Source organism: Homo sapiens, chromosome 22, assembly GCF_000001405.40.
Source record: "Homo sapiens chromosome 22, GRCh38.p14 Primary Assembly".
NCBI classification, from domain to species: domain Eukaryota; kingdom Metazoa; phylum Chordata; class Mammalia; order Primates; family Hominidae; genus Homo; species Homo sapiens.
Genome location: NC_000022.11, coordinates 19,180,615 through 19,205,959, shown reverse-complemented (window position 1 = coordinate 19,205,959; position 25,345 = coordinate 19,180,615). Strand labels below are relative to the sequence as shown.

Below are 25,345 nucleotides of genomic sequence, written 5' to 3'. Positions count from 1 at the left end.
GTGAGAAGCCTGTGTCAAAAAAAAAAAAAACAATGGTTGGAAATTAAGTTAAAGTTTTGAAAGGTGTTAAAAGTTCATCATGTAATTCTGTAACCAAGTAAAATTCCAGATGAAAGAATTAAAGGTAAAAATTGAGCTTTTCCTTAAAATTTTTTAAAAATATGTATTTGAATTTTTGCATGAGAAAGGAATTTTTAAACATGTAAGCAGTGGAAGAAAGCATAAAGGAAAATATCAGTTCAGCTAATACATAAATATTTGAAATATAGCTATAGAGTTTTATTATTTCTAAACATGGACCTCTAAGTCTAGATGTAAAAATCTATCCCAAGAAAGTAGAAAAGATCCACATAGTTTTACCTATAAATATTTAATCATTGCAGCATGATTATGCAAATAAAAATCAAAAGCCAATGTCTGGCAAAAGGAAATAGTGCTTTTGTTTTGTTTTGAAACAGGGTCTCCTCTGTCACCCAGGCTACAGTGCAGTGGCACGATCTCAGCTCACTGCATCCTCGACCTCCTGAGCTCAAGCCATCCTCCCACCTCAGCCTCCCGAGTAGCTGGGACCACAGGTGCACGCCACCACTCCCAGCTAATTTTTGTATTTTTGGTAGAGACGGGGTTTCACCATGTTGCCCAGGCTGGTCTCGAACTCCTGTGCTCAAACCATCCACCCGCCTCAGCCTCCCAAAGTGCTGGGATTACAGGGGTGAGCCACTGTGCCCGGCCAAGAAATAGTTAAATAACAACATCCATCAATGGAGTATAATACTGATGAGGACAGTGAATAACTCTGGGATTTGGAATTGGCAATATCATATTGCTTTTCTTTTACTTGCCTGTGTTTGCAAAGTTTTTTTTTTTTAATCAGTGATCATGTAACTTTAGAAATTGCCCTTATAATCCAAAAAGTAGTTAAAATAATAGAAAACAAAGCCTTGCCCCCAATCCCCCTCTGGGTTAGTAACAGGGTTCTCCTGAGTCAGAGGCGCTGTGGGCCAGAGCAGAAGCTCCCTCACATAGGGCCGGCTGGGTGGGGCAGAGGCACACCTGGCTCTTTACCTATGTTCATAGTGGCCCCAGGCCTGGCAAGCTCTCTGCCTTCTGCTGTCACTCCCCTGAGATAGGGGCCAGTAACCTTCAGCCTGGGGGCCAGATCCCAGCCCATCGCCTGGTTTGTGTATGTTTCCCACAGTCTGGCATCTGCTGACTGCAACTCCACAATGTCATTTAACTCATTTTCCCTGCGTTTCCTGTAAATTGGCAGTAACAAGTCTTACATGCTTACCCCTTTGATAGAATACTTCATTTATGCATTCATCACCTTTTATTAAGCATCAGCTAGCTGTGTGCCAGAGTAGGGGCTATGGATGTAGCAGGGAAAATGGTAATCAGATTTCTGCCCCGTGAATCATAAGATTCTTAAAAATACTGTGATCTATTAAATGGTGAATATAAGGAGCTAAGTGAAGCGGGGCAGGGATAAGAAGCGTTGGAACGGTGTGGGTGTGACAGTGGACATTCTGGTTTTAGAAAGGGCCCCTGGGTAAGTGCTGAGTCTGTACACCTCTGGGAAGGAGCCCTTAGAACAAGACAGCGGGGCAAGTGCAAGGATCCTGTGAGGAGCATTGTGGGGTGCAGGAGCCCCTGGCTGGAGCACAGCCATCCAGCGAGAGAGGCTTGGGGAGCAGTAGGAAGAGGCAGCTGTTGGCCTCTGCGGGTCAGGACTTCAGGGGTCGTCATCAGGACTCTGGCTTCTCTGGCTTCTGCTCTGGGCGAGACTGGACATTTTGAGCAGAGGAGGAAAATGATCTGGTCTAGGGGTCAGCGGAACCCCTCTGGCTGCTATGCTACAAACAGAGTGAAGGACAAGGGTGGAGCAGGGAGTGCATAGAGGAGGATGGTGCAGTGATGTCGCAAGGGGCAGCGACAGCAGATAAAGTGGGCAAGGCAAGTGCAAAGCATAGTCAGCTTCTGGATGTGTGTTGAAGGCAGAGCCGGCAGGGCGTGCTGCCAAGTGGGGTGTGAGGAGAGAAGCAGTGAGGGCGGGTCAAGCTTGGGGGTGTGGGCAGTCATGCTTACCAGTGTGGGGACAGTGTGTGAGGACTGCCTGGGGGCATCAGGACTAATATTCGGACAAGTCGGACCTCTAGTAGATGCCATGTGGATCTGTCCAGCTGGAAGTAGGAGTTAGGTTTTAGAGGAGAAGCCCAGACTAGAGATGTGCATGGGCAGCCTCCAGGGACAGGCAGCACCCACAGCCGCCACCTGTGTGGGAGAGCATGGCAGTGGGGGTGTGGGGCTGGGGGGGGATGGACCAAAGAAGCCAGAGCACCCCAAAGCCCCACAGCAGGGAGAGGGGGAGATGGAGACTGGCCAGCGGGGTGGGAGAAAAGCAGGCAGGGGTGTCCAGAAAACCATGTCTGCGTCTGTCTGGAGGAGCAGTGACCCTGGCAGAGAGGCTGGCAGAAGCCTGATTGGAGTGGATTGCAGAGAGAATAGGAAGACAGGGGACAACTGTTACAGACACACAGATACTCCCTGAGAACTGTGCTCTGATGGGAAGCATGGAAACAGGCTGACAGCCCCCAGGTAAGTTGAGGGCAGAGCAAGTTGGATTAGTTTTATTTTATTTATTTTTGAGATGGAGTTTCACTCTTGTCTCCCAAGCTAGAGTGCAGTGGTGCGATCTCAGCTCACTGCAACCTCTGCCTCCCAGGTTCAAGCCATTCTCCTGCCTCAGCCTCCTGAGTAGCTGGGATTACAGGCGCCCGCCACCACGCTCAGCTAATTTTTCTATTTGTAGTAGAGACAGGGTTTCACCATATTGGCCAGGCTGGTCTCAAACTCCTGACCTCAGGTGATCCACCTGCCTCAGCCTCTCAAAATGCTAGGATTACAGGTGTGAGCCACTGTGCCTGGCCAGTTTTGTTTTGTTTTAAACTAGAGAAAAGAACAGTGGTTCTTTAAGCTTGTCAGAGTGGATGAGTGCAGAAGGTGATGGATGCTGATGCAGGGATTTGCTGAAACCCTGACATGGAGCATGTGGAGAGGGGGTCAGGGACATCCATGGAGCAGGCCTTGGTGGCATAGGAAGGACATTCCACGGACACTGTGCTGTGAAAGGCTCTCCTGATAGTTTGTTTTCTCAGGAAAAGGGAAGCCAAATACTCAGCTTGAGGAATCGTTAGAGCTTTGAGAAGAGAAGGAGATATGAAAGAGTTAACATGAGAGATGCCATGGGTGATGGAAGGAGGGGTGGCAGTAGAGGTGCTATGGATGACAGGCGTGTAGGGGTGGTACAAGAGGTGCCATGGATGACGGAAGTAGGGTAGTGCAGTAGATGCCATGGATGACGGAAGGAGGGGAGGTGCCATGGATGATGGAAGGAGGGGAGGTGCCATGGATGACAGAAGGAGGGGTGGTGGGGGAGGTGCCGTGATGGCGGAAGGAGGGGTGGTGCGGGAGGTACCGTGGATGGCAAAGGAGGGGTGGTGCGGGAGGTGCCGTGGATGGCGGAAGGAGGGGTGGTGCGGGAGGTGCCGTGGATGGCGGAAGGAGGGTTGGTGCGGGAGGTGCTGTGGATGGCGGAAGTAGGATGGGTAGTGTTGCCAGTGCATTTGATGTTAGCCTTCATGAATTTAGAGAGACCCATCAGCACTTTGGGGTTCTGCTGTCTGTGTTTAGCTCTGCAGCCACAGGTATGGAATGGGCAGAGAACTAGCTCTGAGCAGGACTGAGAACAATCAGGAGAGTCAAGAGTGAATGCCAGGAGCTGTCCAGCATGATCTGGGGCCACCAGCTGGGGCAAGTGCAAGTTGGGCATGGACAGGGCTGCAGGAATTCAGTCCAGTCACTGGACTGGTGGAGTTGAGGCGCTCAGGATGGCGAGCTGGGCAGTGCTAGGCAGAGTAGGTACTTGTGGAAGGTTCCCAGGGCTGGCATCTCTCTTCTGAGGTGTAAGGTGTGGCTATGGCAGTGACTTGTTCTTGTGAGAAGAACAAGGTCCCCAGCTCATAGGAAGTCAAATAAATTGCCAGAGAATGAGAAAGATTTGTAAATGGCATCAGGAACTAGGGCTGGTGAGTGATACCTGACACAAGATTGGTTGTGAACGGTTTTTATTGAGGAGGAAGGGGAACGGCTTGGAAGCAGCAAGGAGCACACCTCCTCAGCCCAGGCCCAGTGGGGTGCAGATGTGGTAGGTGACAGCCAGGGCCTGAGAGGTGCCAGAACGCAGGGTTAGATAGGAGCGGGCAGGTAGAAGCGCCCCCTGAGGTGGAGGAGGGTGTCCAGGGACTAGAAAGCCAAGGCCAACTTCATCTGGTCACTGGTGCGATCAGAAAGATGCTTACCACCCTAGCAAACAGAAAAATACCTCTGCCATCTAGGAACTTAAAAGCAACTCTGGAGAAATCTTCCCATTGAAGAGTGTCTCAGTCGAGCTACCCTATTATCCGTAGGTTGGAGACCGCTGTTACGAGGAGGGAATGTACGAGGCTGCCAAGCTGCTCTATAGCAATGTTTCTAACTTTGCCCGCCTGGCTTCCACCTTGGTTCACCTCGGTGAGTATCAGGCAGCAGTGGACAACAGCCGCAAGGCCAGCAGCACCCGGACGTGGAAGGAGGTGAGCTGCGGGCAACTGCAGACGGCAGAGTGTGCTGGACAGGCACGCTCTCCGTGTCCTTTGCGTTCTGCTCGGTACTCTTCTGGGTGCCGGTCTCTTGCCCAGGCAGGGGTCTGAACCCTTGGGATTCTTAGAGTCTCTAGGCTAGTGTTTGTAGTTGGAACAGAGGCCCCAGAGAATCTGATGTGGAACCAGTTGGCCCCCAGAGGTAGCCTTAATAGCATGGAATTACCAGTATTATAAGTATTTTCATAACACTTTTAAATCATGTCACCTTATTTGCATAATCAGTGTAAATTTACATTATTGGTCCTTTGTGGCAAATTGGTAAATTGTCTGGAGGCTCTCTGATAATATCAGAATCCATCTTCAAGTAGAAAAAACTGAAGAAATATCCAAAACAGCATTGTTTAATGAAAGATTAAAATTAGCCTAAAGGTCTAATGTCAAGGCCTTTTGTTTGTTTGTTTGTTTTGTTTTTGTTTTTGAGATGGAGTCTAGCTCTGTCGCCCAGGCTGGAGTACAGTGACACGATCTCGGCTCACTGCAAGCTCTGCCTCCCGGGTTCACACCATTCTCCTGCCTCAGCTCCCCCAGTAGCTGGGACTACAGGCGCCCGCCACCACGCCCGGCTAATTTTTTTGTATTTTTTAGTAGAGTCGGGGTTTCACCATGTTAGCCAGGATGGTCTCTATCTCCTGACCTCATGATCCACCCACCTCAGCCTCCCAAAGTGCTGGGATTACAGGCATGAGCCACTGCGCCCGGCCAAGGCCTTTGTTAATGTATGCATTACAACTCTACCCTGCTGTTTAAGATGAATAGGCAGAGTTGCAGGAAAAGATGTTGCCAATATTATGCGAGGAATATATCATCATGCAGAATGTATGATGTAATTCCACTGTGTTTATGTGGGAAATTTGTCAGGGTGCTGGTGTATGCATCACACATAGGAAACAGTGGGCCAAAGATTATATCTCAAGTTAATGACACTGGCTTATGTGATTATTTTTGTACAGGGGAATTCTGCACTTCTCAAGGCTTGTTATCATTAAGTATACATACTGTACAGTGCAGAAAACAAAAGTAGTCTAAAAAACTATTAAAACAAGCTCCCCCGTGAAAACAACACTCAGATGAGATGCATTCTGATGGTCATTATTTTTTAGCCTTCCTTTTCAAACCCCAAACCTGAAATTCCAGCATGACTTTCCCGCCACCTGAACAAAACTCAGGGCCTACGAAGTAATGCACAAACTTTATTCTTTCCATGGTCTCAAGCACCCCCTTGGCCTGCAGATTACAAATGTCATATTTTTTCTCCCAGTCTTGTACAATTCATCATAGAGTTAGCTACTTGTTCAGAATCCAACTTAAAATACCCCACTGCTGGTATTTCTGCATTTGCAACTGTGTGCCTTGTAAGTCAGCTGCTGTGGTGCTGTGTCCTGTCTTGGGGACCCTCACGCTTGCCCTCCGTCCCCTAGGTGTGCTTTGCCTGCATGGATGGACAAGAGTTCCGCTTCGCACAGCTGTGTGGTCTTCACATCGTCATTCATGCAGATGAGCTGGAGGAGCTGATGTGCTATTACCAGGTGACCAGATGATCTCTGCTGGTAATGCAGATGACAAGTGATGCCTAAACACTCCACAGAGAGGCACGGTCATCCCCTTAGCTCGTGACCATCACAGTGTTGCATCTGCAAATATGAAGCATGGCCCTGAGGGGAAGATTCATGTGTTAGACAGTCATTTATGAACTAAATTCAATTGCCTTGTTAGCTATCCTCGACCTCATGGCTGGCTGGAATTTTGTGTTTTTTAAGTTCTCTCCATCCTCTTGTGTTATTGGGCCTTCAGAAGCCCAGTCAGTGGCTTGCATGACGGGAACAACCCTTGGAGGGTTGCTGAGAATACTGGGCTGGTGGTGGCAGAGCTCTAGTCCATAGCCTAGTTCCCCACAGTGTGCAGCCCCAGTAGTCTGTTTTTCAAGTGCCTTAGGGACAAAGCACAGGCAAGAGAGGGAACCCCACCTGGACCCTTTGGAAGGGTGGGGCCCTGTATGTTCATGCTGTAGGTAGGCTCTCTTGAGTGGTTGGTAGACAGTGATTTGTGTGTTTAGGGACCTGGGCTTCCACCTGTGGGATTCCTAGAGCCACATGACAACTCCAGGTATGGTTAGTCAAGGCAGACGAAGATGGGATCTGACTCTGCTCAGCAGTGTCACCATGGCCATGGAAATTGAGCCCCAAACCCCTCACTATGTGAGACGTTGTCTGGAGGGGCTCGCACCAGCGCCAGAGTGTCCAGATATTAGCTGGGTGTGATGGCTTTTCAATGAGAAATGCTTTCCCACCCCCAGAGAGGCGCCTGAGAAATGAACTGGAAAGCCAACAGGGAGGGTGATCAAGCAGTACAGGGCTGACAAAAGAACAATTTAGTCAGCAAATCTTTGAGTACTTACTGTGTGCTAGGCATTATTCTCAATAATTGTGTCAGTGAACAAAACAGAAAAGCCTCTATTTAATTGAACTGGCATTCAGCAAGGTTGGCAGGCAAGCAACAAACCTAATGAATAATTATATAGTGTGTTTGAAGGTGATCAGTTATAGAGGAAAATGGAGCCGGTTTGAGGGCATAGGAGTGCCTGGATGGAGTTTCATAAAGGGGCGGTCAAGGTAGCAGCAATTGAGGGGGTGACATTTGAGCAAAGACCTGAAGAAATGGAAGGATTTGGTCATGGGAACATTTGAGGGAAGGGTCAGTGGCCAGGCAAAGTCCTGAGGCAGAAGTGTGCTGTGTATTCAAGGAAGGGGCTGGAGCCAGAGATGGGGCAGAGAGGCTGACGGAGGGCCAGATCTCAGGCCGTTAGGAAGGTCACGGGCTGTACTTGGGATGGGTGCAGGGCTGTCGGGGGTAAAAGGATCATGGTGGCTCATGTGCTGAGACACATACTTGAGGAGTAGGGACAGGAGCCAGAAGAGCAGCTGGAGGCTGTTGCAGTGGTCTAGGCGAGAAGGGACAGTGACTCTGACTAGGGTGGTGGTGACAGGGTGAGAGGTGATCAGGCCATCAGGATTGGGTGTGTGCTTTGAATGAGCAGCCACCTTGATATGCTAATGCACTGATGTGGAGTGAGAGAGAAAAGCCCAGGATAACTCCATTTGGTTTTGGCTTGAATAAGTAGAAATAACGGAGTTATCACCAGTGGATGAGGGGAAGACTGAAGGTGCAGCACGGGAGGGAAGGACAAGAATTACTTTTTGGACACATGGTGCTAAGTCTTGAGCTGCCCGCTGGATGTTCAGGTGGGGGCATCATGTAGGCAGCTGGAGACAGATCTGGAGCTCCACAGAGGAGGGGCCTAGCTAGAGCAGTGAACCTGGAGTTGCTGACATATAGGTGATCCACATCCATCTATGTTTGCCTGCAGTCCCCTGGGGATGAGTGTAGGTGAAAAGACCAGACTGCCCAACAGGGGTGGGCTGAGGAGGGGAGCAGGAGCAGCCAGTACAGTGGGAAGAAAACCCAGAGAGTGTGCTGGCTCCTGGATGCACTGGAGAGGAGGGGCCGGTCAGCAGGGACAGGGCCTGCTGCTGAGCAGACAGCAGGATGGCAGGGCCAGGGGGCTGCTTGTGACCTGGAGCTTGGGAGAGACTCAGCCTGATGGTGGCTGGAGAGAACAGGGAGAGGAATGGGAATGGTTGTTGTGAGGAGTTTTTGCTGCAAAAGGAAGTAGAAAAAATGGGAGGTAGCTAGCAGGGACATCGGGTCAAGAGGGTGTTTAGGATAGGAGGATGAGCGGGATGCTTGCTGAACCCAGCTGTGGAGAGTGAAAATAAGGCAGAAGAGAAATGAGGAGTCACCGGAGCTGTGGCCTTGGTAGGCAAGCAGGTGGGATGGAGCTGCAGGCTGGGCAGGTTCCAGACAGGAGCACAGGCGGCGTGTCTGTAGCTGATTGGGGGGTGCAGATGCTGCCAGCAGACAAGTGTGCCACTGGGAAATGAGGTTAGTCTGAGAGTGGAGGGGGCACAGAAGGGTGTCCTCCTTGGGAAAACAAGAGGTGTGAGGCAGTCCTCTAGGTCGGACCCTCCCAGGGCTGTGGTCGTTAGAGTAAAGGGAAAGGGTCACATGGCTGGGTGTTTCTCCAGGCTTTCTGCATGCTGAGCAGGCTGTAACCAGACGTCTGGTCTTGTCCAGGGAGAGTGTCAGAGGCGTGTGGGGCTGAATGCAAGGGGCTGGCCATCATAATTAGGGACACAGTGAAACAACAGCCACGTGGCATCGTGAGTGGAGTTGAAGGTTTGTTGGAGCCAGGATCTCAGTAATGAGCTGTAGCAAGGGATTAAAACAAATCATTCCCAGACCCTGTTACCACCCACTTCCTATTTTTTTTTCTAATTCTTTAAATAAAATTGGCAATACTAATTTGCACTTACTAAACTTGAAAATTGTAGTGCAGTGTGCCACTGGTAATTGTCAGATGATCCAATAAGTTGCTAAGTAAATGGCATGATCTGTAGCACAGTATGTATACACGTTTTCTTCACACATGCCTCCTCGGGATCATTCCCAGTCACAAGCACAGTCCCTGCGGCGTGGGCATGGGCTGGAGGGTGGCTGCAGGAGGCATGCAATCACTCTGCCCCACGCGTGGCTGTTGGTCTGCTAGGATCGTGGCTACTTTGAGGAGCTGATCTTGCTGTTGGAAGCGGCCCTGGGCCTGGAGCGGGCCCACATGGGCATGTTCACTGAGCTGGCCATCCTCTACTCCAAATTCAAGCCACAGAAGATGCTGGAGCATCTGGAGCTTTTCTGGTCCCGTGTCAACATCCCAAAGGTACCGTGTACTCCTTGCAGTCTGGCAGCCGTGGCCACGTGCAGCACAAGCCGACCCTGACCTCCTTGTCCAGGTGCTGAGGGCTGCAGAGCAGGCACACCTGTGGGCTGAGCTGGTGTTCCTCTATGACAAGTACGAGGAGTATGACAATGCTGTGCTCACCATGATGAGCCACCCCACTGAGGCCTGGAAGGAGGGTCAGTTCAAGGACATCATTACCAAGGTAAGAGGGGATACAGAGCGCTGGCTCCTGCCAGCCTCTGCCAGGCCCTATTCTGGGTGCAGGGGAATGGGCAGGTGGGAGTGGAATGAGTACCAGCATGCCCCCATGCTGTGTGTGCGTTCACTTGTATGAGTCCACCACCCTCTGGGCAGATGGTAGTAATTCCATCTTTGAAGGGAACTGACACTTAAGAAGGGCAGGTGACCCGTCTAGCGATGCACAGCTGAGCTGCGGGCAGGGTCAGGCCAGCATGCAGCCGTGGCCCTGTGGCCCTGCCTGCCCGCCCCTCCCACCATACCACGCCCTTGTGGCCAGGCCTCAGTTCGTTCTTCCTTCTGCCCTGTCAGCTCAGGGCTCCCACCCCCACTTCCTGTGGTTATTGTTCACCATCGGACCTTTTTTTTTTTTAGTTCATGTCTCTCCCCAGCACCAGCGGCCTTACCTGTCTGGGAGTGGGCCTCCATCCTGTAGCCTAACTGGGCTAAACCGGGACCCGAGTTTCTCTGTCAGCAGCCACACTGTTGGGTGGTGTCGGGTTTGGGTGCCATGGTCAAGTGAGCCTTTGTTATTTTGTTTCCGGTCTCTTAGAGAGTTCAACCTCAGGACCCACCCCTCTCCAGCTCTGTATGTGAGTTTGGTGAAGGGGCTGGAATTCTTTATCCTCAGCCCCCATCCCTTTGCATTGGGTATCTGCGCTTTGTGCCATGGTCTTTGGGTAACTAACTTGTCACAGTCGGCTTGTGACTGGAGTGGCACAGCAGTGAGCTGTGGCCTCGCTCATGCACCTCTTTTCCACATGCGGCTACTGAGGGTGGGCGCGAGTGGCACGTGTGCTGCCAGGTGAGGCCTTCAGCCTCTGCCTTTCCTGGGAACTATTTGAAGGAACCCAGTATTGAGCACCAGGCCACAAGCCCGAGCTTCTTGTTGGAGGACATCCATGTTACTGGGCATGGTGGTACGTGAAAGTGGGGGCCTTTGATGGGGCGTCCCACCCTGAGCAGAGTCTGCAGGTTGCTGGAGGGAGTGCGGCCAGGTCATACCTTACTGTGGCCTGGCACACGTGGCTGCTGCCTTGTAGATTTGTCTGTGTGCTGGAAAATCCATACTTGATCAATCCTGTGTGTATTTTATTCACATTGTAACTCCTCTGATATTAGGGTGTTTTTAAAAATTGCTGAGCCGTGGTGGAAGTGGCCATGCTTTTGTTTCTTACTGGCATATAAAATAATAGCAGGACAGCTGAGACTCACTGTGTGGGAGAGCAGCATCTCTCATCTGGTGCCTGCAGGGCTGATGGCTGAGTCCAGTTCCTTGTGTGATTCATGATGCTTCTACTACACCCTGCCGTGTGGGAGACAGACACTGTCAGCTCAGGTGTGAAGGGGGTAGGAGGATACTCGCCAGTGCAGGGGTCCAATCAGATGGACGACATCCAATCTGTATTTGGGGCACACGATAGCAGGAATCCACTTAGCCATAGGGCTGGGCCAGCAGCAGCCTGAGCAGGGGAGCTTGCTAACTCACACGGGGGGCACCCCAGCTCAGCCATTCACTGTCTCTCTCCATGTGGGCTAGGGGTGTCACCGCTGTGAACCTCGTTATCCCATCCATACAATGGACATCATGTTTCCTCCCGACCAAGTGGTCCATGGCAGGTGCCTGGCATCCGGTGGGCGCTTCTTTCAGGTTGTGCAGCACAGCACGCCAACCAGCTATCCTGGAGCTTGTGGCGGAATCTCAGCTTCAGTTTTCTCTTCTTTTTTTGTTTTATTATTATTTTTCTTGAAACGGAGTCTCACTCTGTCACTCAGGCTGGAGTGCAGTGGCGCGATCTTGGCTCACTGCAACCTCCGCCTCCCAGCCTCGAGCGATTCTCCTGCCTCAGCCTCCAGAGTAGCTGGGATTACAGGTGCCTGCCACCACGCCCGGCTCATTTTTGTATTTTTAATAGATACAGGGTTTTACCATGTTGGGCAGGCTGTTCTCAAACTCCTGACCTCAGGTGATCTTGAGAGGTGACGCCACCTGGACTTCTTGGGTCGGGTGGGGACTTGGAGAAATTTTGTGTCCAGCTAAAGGATTGTAAGTACACCAATCAGCACTCTGCATCTAGCTAAAGGATTGTAAATGCACCAATCAGCACTCTGTAAAAAACGTACCAATCAGCACTCTGTAAAATGGGCCAATCAGCACTCTGTAGAATGGACCAATTAGCGCTCTGTAAAATGGGCCAATCAGCAGGATGTGGGTGGGGCCAAATAAGGGAATAAAAGCTGGCCATGCGAGCCAGCAGTGCAACCTGTTCGGGTCTTTTTCCATGTTGTGGGAGCTTTGTTCTTTTGCTTTTCACAATCAGTCTTGCTGCTGCTCACTCATTGAGTCTGCACTAGGTTTAAAAGCTGTAACACTCACTGCGAAGGTCTGGAGCTTCATTTGTGAAGTCAGCCAGATCACGAACCCACCAGAAGGAAGAAACTCACACCTCTCAACATCTGAAGGAACAAACTCTGGACACAACATCTTTAAGAGCTGTAACACTCACCATGAGGGTCTGTGGCTTCATTCTTGAAGTCAGTGAGACCAAGAACCCACCGGAAGGAATAAATTACAGACACAATCCGCCTGCCTTGGCCTCCCAAAGTGCTGGGATTACAGGCGTGAGCCACCACGCCCAGCCTTCAGTTTTCCCTTGTATAAAACAGGGATACTACCATGTCTTCTGGGGTGCTGGCTGTCCTTGCTGACCATGCTAGTGGGCACGGGCCTGCCAGTGCTCCATGTCCTGGCGCGTGGCTAGTGGACTCACCCCATCCTGTCTTTCAGCTTGGATCTGGAGGACGCTCCAGAGGGGCCCCGCCGCTCCATTCCTCCTGTAGTGCAGAGGGCTCCAGATCCCAGCAGCTGAGCCCAACAGAGATGTGTGTCCCTGCAGGCCTCAACACCAGAGGAACTGGGTGGGAACATGGCAGTTATACTCCACCTTAAACGGCATTCCGGCCATGCTGCATGGACCTGTTGAAAGGGCCAAGAGTGCACATGGTACCAGGTGTCCCACAAGGGAAGCTAGGACTGCTGGTGCCCCACTTCAAGTCTGTCCACTCGCGTGATACCTGCAAGAGTCTCTGAAATGGGCTTGTCCTTGGATGGTTCCTCTCCTTCACGGGAGGCCTGAGGAGCCTTGTGGTTGGTGGGGAAGCAGGTGGGGCTTTGAGGAGGTGATTCGCCACAGAAGATGAACTTGAGTCCCTACCCTTCTCTTCAGCCCCACATCACATCCTGACTGCTCTCTGCTTCTTCAGTGTCTAGTTGAGGCCCCCATGTCCTGGCCCTGCTGCTGAGTAAAGGGCCAGCCTAGAAGGCTGACAGGTGCTAGAGCTCCAATAGGAGTGGACCCACAGTGGCCTGTGGCAGAGTCTGGGGGCCCACCAGTGCCATAGGTGAAGCTTTGTGATGCGGCCAGTTCACCGTTTTGCTCTGAATCCATGGTGGCGGGTACTAGGGACCCTGCTGCCTGTCTGGGTCAGAATCTCTGGTGACAGTGAGTGCTCTAGCACAAAAGGAAAAGAGAAGGAGAAAGAAGACACCCTGAAGTGGCCAGTAAGCCATAGTGGGACCATTAGACCCCTTTTAGTCAGAAGACCCCATCGGGCCCCACATTTTTGCCAGGTCACCCAAACCCAGCAGTGCTGGAGGCTCCAGTGGTGATCACCCTGGGATCCCAGCATGACTTTAGCTCCAGCTGTGCCCTGTGCACATCCCGGGACCCCCACACTCACGCAGACACATTCATCACCACTGTCTTGGTTCATGCCCATCTGGCTTGCATGCTCCCTGAACAGAGCTGTGTCCAGGCCCTGGACATCGATGCCACAGTCAGCAAGCCACCAAATGACATCGCCAGGGCTGGGCGCGGTGGCTCACGCCTGTAATCCCAGCACTTTGGGAGGCTGAGGTGGGGAGATCACGAGGTCAGGAGATCGAGACCATCCTGGCTAACACGGTGAAACCCCGGCTCTACTAAAAATACAAAAAATTAGCCGGGCATGGTGGCAGCTGCCTGTAGTCCCAGCTACTCAGGAGGCTGAGGCAGGAGAATGGCATGAACCCAGGAGGCAGAGCTTGCAGTGAGCAGAGATCGCACCACTGCACTCCAGCCTGGGCGACAGAGTGAGACTCCGTCTCAAAAAAAAAAAAAAAAAAAAGATGACATCGCCCAGCAAGAGAATGGTGGCAGACCAGTGGGGAAAGTGCTAAGAGACACAGCAGCCTGGCCAAATCTCGAGACCCAGGAGCACAGGCACAGGGTCCACCCAGAGTGGTCCACTCTCTGCATGGGCTGGCCTTCAGGTCTCACCCAGGGTCTGAGCACCACAGTGTTTCAGCTCAAAAGCTCTGGTGATGTCACAGGACATGCTGTCCACTTGGTTATGGCTCAGGCTGAGGCCTCCAAGGAAAGCTGGAGTAATCTTGCTTGGATGGAAACATACTCTGTTGTTTGGTTTTGCTGTGGGGCTTCATTCTGACTGATTACACTTCATTCATTCAGCCGATACTGAGTGATCGTGGACCCTGCATCAGATACTGGTCTAGGTGCTGGGTTGAGGCAGGAAACCCTGAGGCTGGCCTCTTAAGAAAAATGCTCAGTGTGTCAGTGCTGGGGGACAAAATACCTCAGGGATGAGAGGAGGCACCTTCACAGGCCATTGAGTCTTATAGGGGGTAGTCATGGCAGGCCTCAGTAGTAAAGTGTCATTTGAGCAAAAACTGGAAGGAGCCCTGGGGTATCTGGAGACAGCGGCAGGGACTGACCCTCAGCTTTGCTCACCACAGGTTGCCAACGTCGAGCTCTGTTACAGAGCCCTGCAGTTCTATTTGGATTACAAACCACTGCTCATCAATGACCTGCTGCTGGTGCTTTCACCCCGGCTGGACCACACCTGGACAGTCAGTTTCTTTTCAAAGGTGAGTCAACCAAAACCCCAGGTAGAAGAGTGTATTGGGCTAGCTCTAACAAAGTCATCTGAATGATAGCACCTTTATAAAGAGTTTTTGAAATGACCCCCAGCTGACTTGAAGATTCACCAGTGTATCAAAGTGTTTTAGGTTTCAGATACAGGAATACCTCCCGTATCATGCTTCATTTTATTGTGCTTCTCAAATTCTGTGTTTTTTTAAAGATTAGCCGTTTGTGGCCGGGTGCGGTGGCTCACGCCTGTAATCCCAGCACTTTGGGAGGCCGAGGCGGGCGGATCACGAGGTCAGGAGATCGAGACCACCCTGGCTACCACGGTGAAACCCCGTCTCTACTAAAAATACAAAAATTAGCTGGGCGTGGTGGTGGGCACCTGTAGTCCCAGCTGCTTGGGAGGCTGAGGCAGGAGAATGGCGTGAACCCGGGAGGCACAGCTAGCAGTGAGCCAAGATCGTGCCACTGCACTCCAGCCTGGGTGACAGTGTGAGACTCTGTCTCAAAAGAAAAAAAAAAAAAAAGATTGGAGGTTTGTAACCCTGCATTGAGAAAGTCGATTAGCACCATTTTTCCAACAGCATGTGCCCACTTCATGTCCCTGTGTCACATTTTAGGATTTCTCACAATATTTCAAATTTTGTCATTATATATGTTATGGTGATCTGTGATCAGTGATCTTTTTTTTTTTTTTTTTTTTTTTGAGACAGTCTTGCTCTGTTGCCCAGGTGGGAGTGCAGTGGCATGGTCATACCTCACTGCAACCTTGAACTCCTGGCCTCAAGCAATCTTCCCGCCTTGGCCTCCTCCAGTGCTGGGATTATAGGCTTGAGCCAGTGCACACAACCAGCAATCTTTGATGTTACTATTGTAATTGTTTTGGGATGCCACAAACCATGCCCCTATAAGAAGGGAAACTTAATGGATAAATGTTGTATGTGTTCTGACTGCTCCGCTGACTGGCCGTGCCCTGGTCCCTCTTCCTTTCCTTGGGCCTCCCTATTCCCTGAGACACAACAGCATTGGAATTAGGCTAATTAATGGCCGGGAATGGTGGCTTATGCCTGTAATCCCAACACTTTGGGAGGCCAAGGTGGGTGGATGACCAAGGCAGGCGGATCACCCGAGGTCAGGAGTTCGAGACTAGCCTGGCCAACATGGTGAAACCCCGTCTCTACTAAAAATACAAAAATTAGCCAGACGTGGTGACAGGCACCTGTAGTCCCAGCTACTTGGGAGGCTGAGGCAGGAGAATCGCTTGAACCCGGGAGGTTGCAGTGAGCCGAGATTGCACCACAGCACTCCAGCCTGGGCAACAGAGAGACTCCATCTCAAAAAAAACAATAAATTATTGTGCATTTCAAAATAGCTAAAGGAGAAGATTTGAAATGTTCCCAACACAAAGAAATGATAAATGCTTGAGGTGACGGATATCGTAATTACCCTGATTTGATCATCCCACATGTGTATATGTATCAAAATATTACATATGCCCAATTAATATGCACAACTATCATGTATCAATAAGAAGTTGGAAACAAGTAAAGACACCAGTATATAAGGAAAATATCCATATATTAACAGGAATTTGGAAGAAGTGGATTCCAACCCTCATGGATAACTTTGGGGGTTCAGGACTTCAGTGGAGAAAGTCACTGCAGATGTGGGGGAAACAGCAGGAGAACTAGAATTAGAAGTGGAGCCTGAAGAAGGGGCTGAATTGCTGCAATCTTAGGATCCAACTTGAACAGATGAGGAGCTGCTTCTTAGGGATGAGCAAAGAAAGTGGTTTCTTAAGATAGAATCTACTGCTGGGGCAGATGCTGTGAACATTGTTGAAATGACTACAGGGGATTTAGAATAGTGCATAAACCTGGTTGATAAAGTGGCAGCAAGGTTGGAGAGGACTGAGACCAATTTTGAAAAATGTTCTACTGTGAGTACAGTGCTATCAAAGAGCATTGCATGCTGCACAGAGTCTTTTTGTTTGTTTAGTTTATTTTGTTTTATGCAACACAAGTCCAGAGTGGTCTTACATAAAGGGAAGAGTCAGTCAGTGAGGCAAACCTCATTGATGTCTTATTTTAAGAAATTGCCAGCCGAGCGCGGTGGCTCACGCCTGTAATCCCAGCACTTTGGGAGGCCAAGGCGTGTGGATCATGAGGTCAGGAGGTCGAGACCAGCCTGACCAACGTGGTGAAACTCTGTCTCTACTAAAAATACAAAAATTAGCCAGGTGTGGTGGGCGCGCACCTGTAATCCCAGATACTCAGGAGGCTGAGGCAGGAGAATCGCTTGAACCCAGGAGGCAGAGATTGCAGTGAGCCAAGATCGCGCCACTGCACTCCGTCTCCCGCCCCAAAAAAAAGAAGGAAAGAAATTGCCGGCTGGGCGCAGTGGCTCATGCCTGTAATCCTAGCACTTTGGCAGGCAGAGGTGGGCAGATCACCTGAGTTCAGGAGTTCGAGACTTAGCCTGACCAATATGGTGAAACCCTGTCTCTACTAAAAATACAAAAATTAGCCAGGCGTGGTGGCAAGCGCCTGGTCCCAGCTATTCAGGAGGCTGAGGCAGGAGAATTGATTGCTTGAACCTGGGAGGCAGAGGATGCAGTGAGCCGAGATCACGGCACTGCACTCCAGTGTGGGCGACGAGCAAGACTCCATCTCAAAAAAAAAAAAAAAAGAAAAAGAAATTGCCACAGCCTCTCCAGCCTTCAACAGCCACCACTTGTATGAATCAGCAGCCATCAACATTGAGGCAAGACCCTCCCCAGCAAAAAGATTACGAGTCACTGAAGGCTCAGATGATTGTTAGCATTCTTTAGCACTAAAATATTTTTAATTAAGGTGTGTACTGTGTTTTTGTAGACATAATGCTGTTACACACTTAGGCTACAACATAGTGTAAACATGAATTAATATGACTCACTTTATTGCAATGTTCACTTTATTGTGGTGGTCTGGACCCAAACCCATGTGTCTCTCTAAGGTGTGAATGTCTGTGGTGACATTGGCATCCACTGAATCGCCCAGACAGTCCTCTTTGTGTGAGTGTAGGTCTTTTGGTTCTAGGTGTCCAGAAGGTGCCCTTGGCTCCAGAGCTGGACCATTCAAGTGGATGGCACGCACGTGCCCACCTGTGCCCCTGCCTAGTGTCCCCATAACAAGCTTGGCCAAGTGCCTTGACGGTTCCCTCAACTTGTCAGGCAGGTCAGCTGCCCCTGGTGAAGCCTTACCTGCGGTCAGTCCAGAGCCACAACAACAAGAGTGTGAATGAGGCACTCAACCACCTGCTGACAGAGGAGGAGGACTATCAGGTGGGTGTGCAGGAAGGAGCCCTGTCCTGGGTGGGCTGGGCTCCTCCCCTGCAACTGCCATTCTGTTCTCAAAGCAGGCTGCCTTTGCACAGGAGGGTGTGCAGGCCCCACAGGACACCAGTGGATATATGGGCAGGGGCCTTTCTAAGGCTGTGCTGATAGCAACAGCCATCAAGTAACACAAGGTGCCTGCTCCATGTGTAGGCAGCCCATGTCAGTGTCCCATCCCTCACAGAAAGGCTGTCTTCCTAGGGCTTAAGGGCATCTATCGATGCCTATGACAACTTTGACAACATCAGCCTGGCTCAGCAGCTGGAGAAGCATCAGCTGATGGAGTTCAGGTGCATTGCGGCCTATCTGTACAAGGGCAATAACTGGTGGGCCCAGAGCGTGGAGCTCTGCAAGAAGGATCATCTCTACAAGGTTGGTGGCCTGGGCCCGTTTCCTCCCACCTTCCTGCCTTGGTGTGTTTCCTGATGGCTTTGGGGGTCACATCCCTTCCCTCTTGTTCCTGAGACCTGGCTCTGAGCTTCACCAGGGGATCCTCGTGGTGGGTGGGGGGATTAGTATTAATGGGAGACCATATTTAGAACATAGAGTAAGAATTGGGAGTGAGCTAGCACCCCTTAAAAACTGTTTGGATTGAAAGACTTGTAGAGTTTTACGGAGTTGATTCTTTTCGCAGCAGTTTTGTGTGAGTTTCACTCTACCAAAACACAGTGTGGCAAGATTCACTTCTTGGCACCTACTTTACTTCCTATCAAGATTTGGGAACTTCCCTGTAATCTCAGCACTTTGGGAGGTTGAGGTGGGTGGAGTGCTTGAGCCCAGGAGTTTGAGACCAGCCTAGGCGACATGGCAAGACCCCATCTTTACAAAAAATTAGCCAAGTGTAGTGATGGACATCTGTGGTACCAGCCACTCGGGAGGCTGAGAAGGGAGGATCACTTGAGCTCAGGAGTCAGAGGCTGCAGTGAGCTATGATCACACCACTGCTCTAGGCAACAGAGTGAGACCCTGTCTCCAAAAAAAAAAAAAGATTTGAGGAATTTAAAAACCTAAATTAAAATCACATTCAAAGGCTGGACGTGGTGGCTCACACCTGTAATCCCAGCACTTTGGGAGGCTGAGGTGGGCAGATCATTTGAGGTCAGGAGTTCAAGACCAGCCTGGCCAATATGGTGAAACCCTATCTCTACTGAAAATACAAAAGTTAGCCGGGTGTAGTGGTGCACTCCTGCAATCCCAGCTACTTGGGAGGCTGAGGCAGGAGAATCGCTTGAACCCAGGAGGCGGAGGTTGCAGTGAGCGGAGATCACGCCACTCCATTCCATCCCGGGTGACAGAGTGAGACTCTGTCTCGGAAAAAAAAAAAGGAAAAAAATAAATAAATCACATTCAAAACATTTGTTTCAAAGCTGGGTACGGTTGTGTGCACCTGTAGTCCCAGCTACTTTAGAGGCTGAAGTGGGAGGATCACTTGAGAGGAAAAAGAAACTGTGTTTTTTCTGCTGGTGAGAGGTTTCTTAGTATCATTCTCAGACCGGGATCTGGGCATCAGCTAGACAGGTTGGGCTGCCTGGAGGGACCCCCAAGACCCTGAAGGCATTAACATCCTCTGCTTGGCCTGAACATCTCCCCGCGGGGGTGAGGTGGAGTTGTACAAGAGGGCCCTTGTGGGTGCTGTGTGATGCAGCTGAGCCAATTCCCAAGGGCTCCTTGTGCCCAAAGACTCTGGACTTGACCTGAGGGTGTTACTTACGGAGTTGGCCTTAGGCATTCCTGAGTATCTTCACAGGACACATGGATACTTGCCACTTCCTGTCCCGCACAGGGGCCTCATTCTCATGGCTCCTGGTCTGCGGCTGTTGGCTCAGACTCCGTGGAGGCCTCTGATGCCTGCATCAGTGTTGCATTGAGTTTCACCCTAAGTTGTCACCTCCAGTGTTCTGGACTGTTCTGTGACATATCCTAGCCCTTGGTGACAGTGCTTGTGATCCTTCCTGAGGTGCCCACAGGGCCCCTGCAGAGGGAATGGAGAGGAAAAGCTGCTGAGGCTCTGAGACCGCACCTGGAGGTCTCTGGACCTGGCTGCTGGGAGGAGACAGCTGGGCTCAGACGCACCTGAGGGAAGGCTGCCCTCGGCTGGCTGATCACAGCCATTCTGTCCTACCCATGTGGTCCCTGTCAGGGGCTTAAACACACAGCCTCCTCAACACTCAGGCAGTGATGAGTGAGCAGGGCCATCAGTGCTGCCAGAGGCCTACTGGCCTTGCCAGCCACCCACTCCGAGCCACGTGGGCCCAGAAGAGAGTCCAGAGGACAAAGCCACAGATAGAAAGTGGCCGAGCACAGGGCCGGGCGCGTTGGCTCATGCCTGTAATCCCAGCACTTTGGGAGGCCGAGGCGGGCGGATCACAGGATCAGGAGATCGAGACCATCCTGGCTAACATGGTGAAACCCCATCTCTACTAAAAATACAAAAAAGTAGCTGGGCGTGGTGGCAGGAGCCTGTAGTCCCAGCCACTCAGGAGGCTGAGGCAGGAGAATGGCGTGAACCCAGGAGGCAGAGCTTGCAGTGAGCAGAGATCACGCCACTGCACTCCAGCCTGGGTGACAGAGCGAGACTCCGTCTCAAGAAAAAAAAAAAAAAAGAAAGTGGCCGAGCGCGCTTCCCCCAGAACAGTGGCTGTCAGCCAGGAATGACTGTGACCCCAGGGAATGTTTGGTTGTCACAGCTTAGGGCGTGGTGCTGTGTATAGGCCGTAGAGGCAGGGATGGGGCCCACAAGCCCCAGTGCACAGGCGGCTCCCCAGACCTCCCAAGGTCAGCACTGCCACTGGAGGAGCCTGCCCTGAGGCCAGAGCTGAAGCCTCCTGGAGTCTTCCTGGAGGAGTGGCCAGGTCACAGCGTGTCCAGTCAGGGCAAAGCCAGCTAGCAACAGAAAACTGTATTTCCAGATGACAGAAGTAGCATTTAAATGAAAGTTCGGTCAGTGGGGCCCTCCCACACCCACCAGTGAAGAGCAGGGGCCTGCGGAAGTACAGGTGTAGACTGGAGAGCTGGACACAGGGATGGGGACCAGGATGAAGCCTCCCTGAGAGTGGCATGGGCCGGGGAGGTGATGAGAGAGGAGGGTGTGGGAGAGCCTGACTCGAGCTGGGCTCCAGGCCGCAGGAGCGGGACACTGACTGGGAGCTTCCTGGGGGCTGCTTCTACTGGAAGTCCTCTGGGAAGGCAGTGAGACAGTCCCCAAGGCCCACAGAGGAGGAACAGAGCAGGGCCCACTTTAGGCACATGTGGAAGACAAGTCAGCAAGGGTAGGCTGGGCCGGTGGAGGGCACGGCAGGGAGACAGATGAGCGGGCGTCACAGGTCCTCAAAGCGGAGACCCAAAGGCACCTGGAGCTCTCACCTGAGGGTCAGAATCCTGGTGCCTTTGTAGGAACAGTGTGGGTCAGGAGGCAGCGATCGATGAGCAGCATGCCAGCGGGGGAGACTTCTTTCCGGAGCCAGCTCAGCACATCGGGTCCATGCAGATGTGGGCACTGGGCGTCCTCAGGGGTCTCCCAAACGGAACTCAGAGGTGTGTGCTGCAGGCGATGGCAGGCATGCAGAGCTGGGACCGCCACAGGGTATCCCTGGAGAGCACAGGTCACAGTCAGTGGATCATGGCCAACTCCAGGTGGAGTGGCCCTGGGCAAGTGACTACATCTGGGTCTCAGGTTCCTGGTCTCTGAATGGGGTACTAATAGCCCCTGCCATAGAAGGAATCAGGTGATCCAGTGCCTGCTGTGGAGCTAGAAAATAGAGAATGGCCACAGAAAGTGCAGGCTTCTTCAGGACTGGTCAGGTGCAGGTGTTATTTTGTCAATGATATTGTCTTAGACAAATACATTTGCAAGGATGAAAATAGCAGTTAGGGGTTTTTGAGCCACTTGAAAGAAAAACACATTGCTGTTTCTAGAGCAGTAGCCGTACCCCTCCTAACTGCTCCCCTGGTGTCACACGCTCCATGGACCTGAGTGCAGCACCTCTGCAGCAGCCCCACAACCCCCAAACTCCCATCAGTGCCTTCCTCAGAGCAGCCTGTGCACGCCCTCTGCCCTCGGGGCTAGAGTTCCTGTCTCCCAGGGCACCTGCGCCTCCGTGAGCCACCTGTCCCCTCCAGAGCCTCCGGAGGTGGCATCTCCGTTTCACCAGTGGGCAGCAGGGCATAGGGAATGGCCCAGCCATGGGTCCAGGCTTGCTCCACAGCGCAGGAAGTCCTTGGTGGAGTCTAGTGCCACTCCCTGCCCTCCGGCCCAGCTGCTGCAGGCACAAAGCCTCTGCCTGCAGGATGCCCAAGCAAGCATTTGCCTTGGCTGCAGGATGCCATGCAGCATGCTGCAGAGTCGCGGGATGCTGAGCTGGCCCAGAAGTTGCTGCAGTGGTTCCTGGAGGAAGGCAAGAGGGAGTGCTTCGCAGCTTGTCTCTTCACCTGCTATGACCTGCTTCGCCCAGACATGGTGCTTGAGCTGGCCTGGAGGCACAACCTCGTGGACTTGGCCATGCCCTACTTCATCCAGGTGATGAGGGAGTACCTGAGCAAGGTAGGTGCCGGGCCGGCTGCAGCTCCCCGGCCCCTGTGTGGCATGACCCAACCCTGGCAGTGACTCTGGCCGCAGGTCTTAAGGGTGGGCCCCTTTGAGGCCAACCCAGATTCCCCAGCCAGCCCTGGCTGCCTTCAGGAGTGGCTGCTTTCCTTCATGCTGAAGTGGTTTTCTGCCCAACGTTAAGCCCCTCCAGAAAATCATCATGGGGAGTGCCCACTGGCAGCAGCCCTCCTGTAGACTCTGGCTGGGCAGCTGTCCCAATGTGCACACTGCTAGGAGCACAACAGGCGTGCTCATCCCCAGCCCTGGACTTCAACAAGGTGACAGTGAGGTGGCTGGCAATCCCAGCTCCCTGAGGAGCTCCCAGTGGCGTCTGGGGGTGCAGCTGTTAGCATACGGTTGGTGGTAGCTGCCTTTTGCTGAACACATAGTAGGAGTATTCACAGATCCACTGAATCCTTCTAACAGCTATAGGGAGGATGACTCTCTGCCTCATCGAAGTGACAGTACTTGATTGTAAAACTCTCCCTGGGTGTTGAAGTCCTAGGAGTCCCTGCTGGGATCTAGCTTTAGCCACTGTCCAGAGACCTGTGTCAGCAGTGTCATCTGGTACAGTTTGTTGTTTCTAACACTGGAAAAGCTACTTCCAGTAGCATCTACTTGCCTATCTAACCTCCTTCAAGCCAGATGGAGAGCCTCGGAAGGCACTCATGCTGAAGCATCACTCAGTGGAGCGAGGGAAGGGAGGGGCCTCCCAGGTGAGTGGGAGGTAGGAAGGAAACAGGAAGGCGGGCTCATGCTGCCAGCTTTAGCCTGGAGGGCTGCCTGCCGCCTGCAGAGCCTCCAGGGGGCTGCCCAGCCCCTGATAAAGGCCATCCCAGAGTCCATTCAAGGCCGTTGCCCTCCTGTAGGACAGTGTGACCCCATCCCATCTGCATAGCATGCCTGAGTGAGACTCCCTGATGACTCTCAAGGGTTGGGGAGGAAGGGACAGCCCTGGCTACGTGGCCTGAGATTCGTGGGCTGCCAGGGGACATGGACTGGTTGGATTGACAAGGGCCCTGGTTCCCCCACCACAGTGGATGGCAACTCCCTACAGGCGGCACGTGTGGTATGTGGTTTGTGGTATGCAGTGTGTGGTGTGCGGTGTCTGGTGCGTGCCTGTGGAAGCTGCTGTCACCATGATGAGCAGGTTTTCCCATCCCTCGGGTGTCTTTCCTGAAAGTAGTCTGTGTTCTGAGAACCAGCACAAGGAAAGAAAGTGCTTGAATCTCTTCCTGGCAGTAGAGGCCCGTGGGTTAGTGTCAGAGGAACTCAGGCTCACCAGGCCCTAGGGAGTGTCATTGCTGTGGGGGTCAAAGTGCTTGTGGGGATCCCCCAGGACTTTGAGGCGCACATTCCCTTTCTGTTGCGGATGATGGAGTTAGCAGCCACTATCACGTTGGTCCACACTGTGGCTGCACAGCCTTGGCCCAGGGTTCCCAGACTCCACTGGCCCTGGGAGGTGGTGGCTGCTGGAGCACCTTCTCTGCTGCCACCCACCTATTCCTGCTGGGGCAGATGAGACGCCTGTCATGGGGAGAGTTCAAGGAGAGGAGGGGGCTGGCAAGGGGTTTCCCAGTCAGTGGCATGGGGGTGTGAGCTGATTGTCAGCTTGAGCTGGTGCTCAGCTGACACCACACAGCAGTGCTGGGAGAATGAGGGCGCGGACAAGAAGCACAGTCCTTTCCTGGTGGACAGCTGGGCCTGGGGCCTCGTGGCTCATCTGGGAAGCTTGAGGGCCATCCCTCTGAGACGCCCCCAGCGCTCTCCCATTGTAGGGAGGGTACAGGCCTAGCTCAGCCCTCACCCTAGGTGTCAGCAAGTGTGCCCCCTGCTTCCTCCTCATTTCTCAGCCCCCCCCAGACCCCAGCTCATGGGGGGCACATTCTTATTTCTCTTTCTTACTCAGTGTGTTTGTGAGGGGATCCTAGCTGCACAGTTGCTGCCGCCCCTCTAGTGCAGTGCTGCCGCCTCGCTCTCTGGCAGTGGGTGGGGTCAGTGCCTGGTGAAGCCTCAGGGAAGAGTGAGGAGGCAGTTTGTCCTCAGTGCTTCTCAGGTGAAGTGTCTAGGTGCCAGGTGACTTGTCTCTGAGAGCCACATGATCTCTCTGCTGGTTTGGAGGGGCGGGCAAACTAGACTGGCCAGAGCCAGAAGCAGACAGTGTTCCCTGCACATGGCCCCAGCCCTGCAGGTCGGTAAGTGGCAGTGTCCCTGTATCCAGAGGAGGACTTGGCCCCCCATAAGCAGGCCACATGCACAGCCTGTAACAACTGACTGCCCCAGTGCCCACTGGGAAGCTCTGGGGGCCCCACCTGGCGTTCCATCTCAGCCCAGCTACCGAGGCTTCACCTCTCCATGCCTTGCTGCATTCTAAAAGTGCATGGGGTGTGGGCTGAGCCACTCCACATCTGCCCATGTGCACCTCCTCCACTGTCATTCTCCTGGAGGCCCTGTGTCCTGACCTTCCACTCCACTTTCACCTAGAGGCCGGACTGCACTCTGTCAAGCGGGTGCTCACGTGCTTTTGCCTCCTTGCAGGTGGACAAACTGGATGCCTTGGAGAGTCTGCGCAAGCAAGAGGAGCATGTGACAGAGCCTGCCCCTCTCGTGTTTGGTAGGTGGCACCTGTAGCCCCCAACCCCCTGGGGAGGGAGCAGGGAGGGAGTCAAAGTCCCACTGCCCTTACCTGGCTGGGCTTTGGATGGGGATGGGAATAGATGGGTGGGGGCT

At 52.4% G+C, this 25,345-nt stretch overlaps 1 protein-coding gene and 1 long non-coding RNA gene across 22 annotated transcripts in view; one reads left to right on the top strand and one right to left on the bottom strand.

Annotated features, from left to right (window-relative positions):
- Positions 1-25,345, top strand: part of CLTCL1 (clathrin heavy chain like 1) — a 112,247-nt gene that overhangs the window by 85,760 nt on the left and 1,142 nt on the right. For 5 of the 21 annotated variants that reach the window (XM_017028954.3, XM_047441511.1, NM_007098.4 and 2 more), the window contains 9 exons: positions 4,467-4,631; positions 6,119-6,226; positions 9,304-9,471; positions 9,545-9,694; positions 14,525-14,656; positions 17,869-17,979; positions 18,232-18,402; positions 22,349-22,570; positions 25,154-25,229. In XM_017028954.3, coding sequence (XP_016884443.1) covers positions 4,467-4,631; positions 6,119-6,226; positions 9,304-9,471; positions 9,545-9,694; positions 14,525-14,656; positions 17,869-17,979; positions 18,232-18,402; positions 22,349-22,570; positions 25,154-25,229 — 1,303 coding nt within the window. Of the gene's footprint in view, positions 1-4,466; positions 4,632-6,118; positions 6,227-9,303; positions 9,472-9,544; positions 9,695-14,524; positions 14,657-17,734; positions 17,980-18,231; positions 18,403-22,348; positions 22,571-25,153; positions 25,230-25,345 lie in introns of those variants that run through there. The other 16 variants (XM_047441515.1, XM_047441516.1, NM_001835.4 and 13 more) reach the window with 10 other exon arrangements.
- On the bottom strand, positions 5,871-9,316 carry LOC112268289 (uncharacterized). The gene is made up of 2 exons (XR_002958736.2): positions 9,071-9,316; positions 5,871-6,352 (listed from the first exon to the last, which is right to left on the bottom strand). It is a non-coding gene; the product is annotated as an uncharacterized LOC112268289 (long non-coding RNA).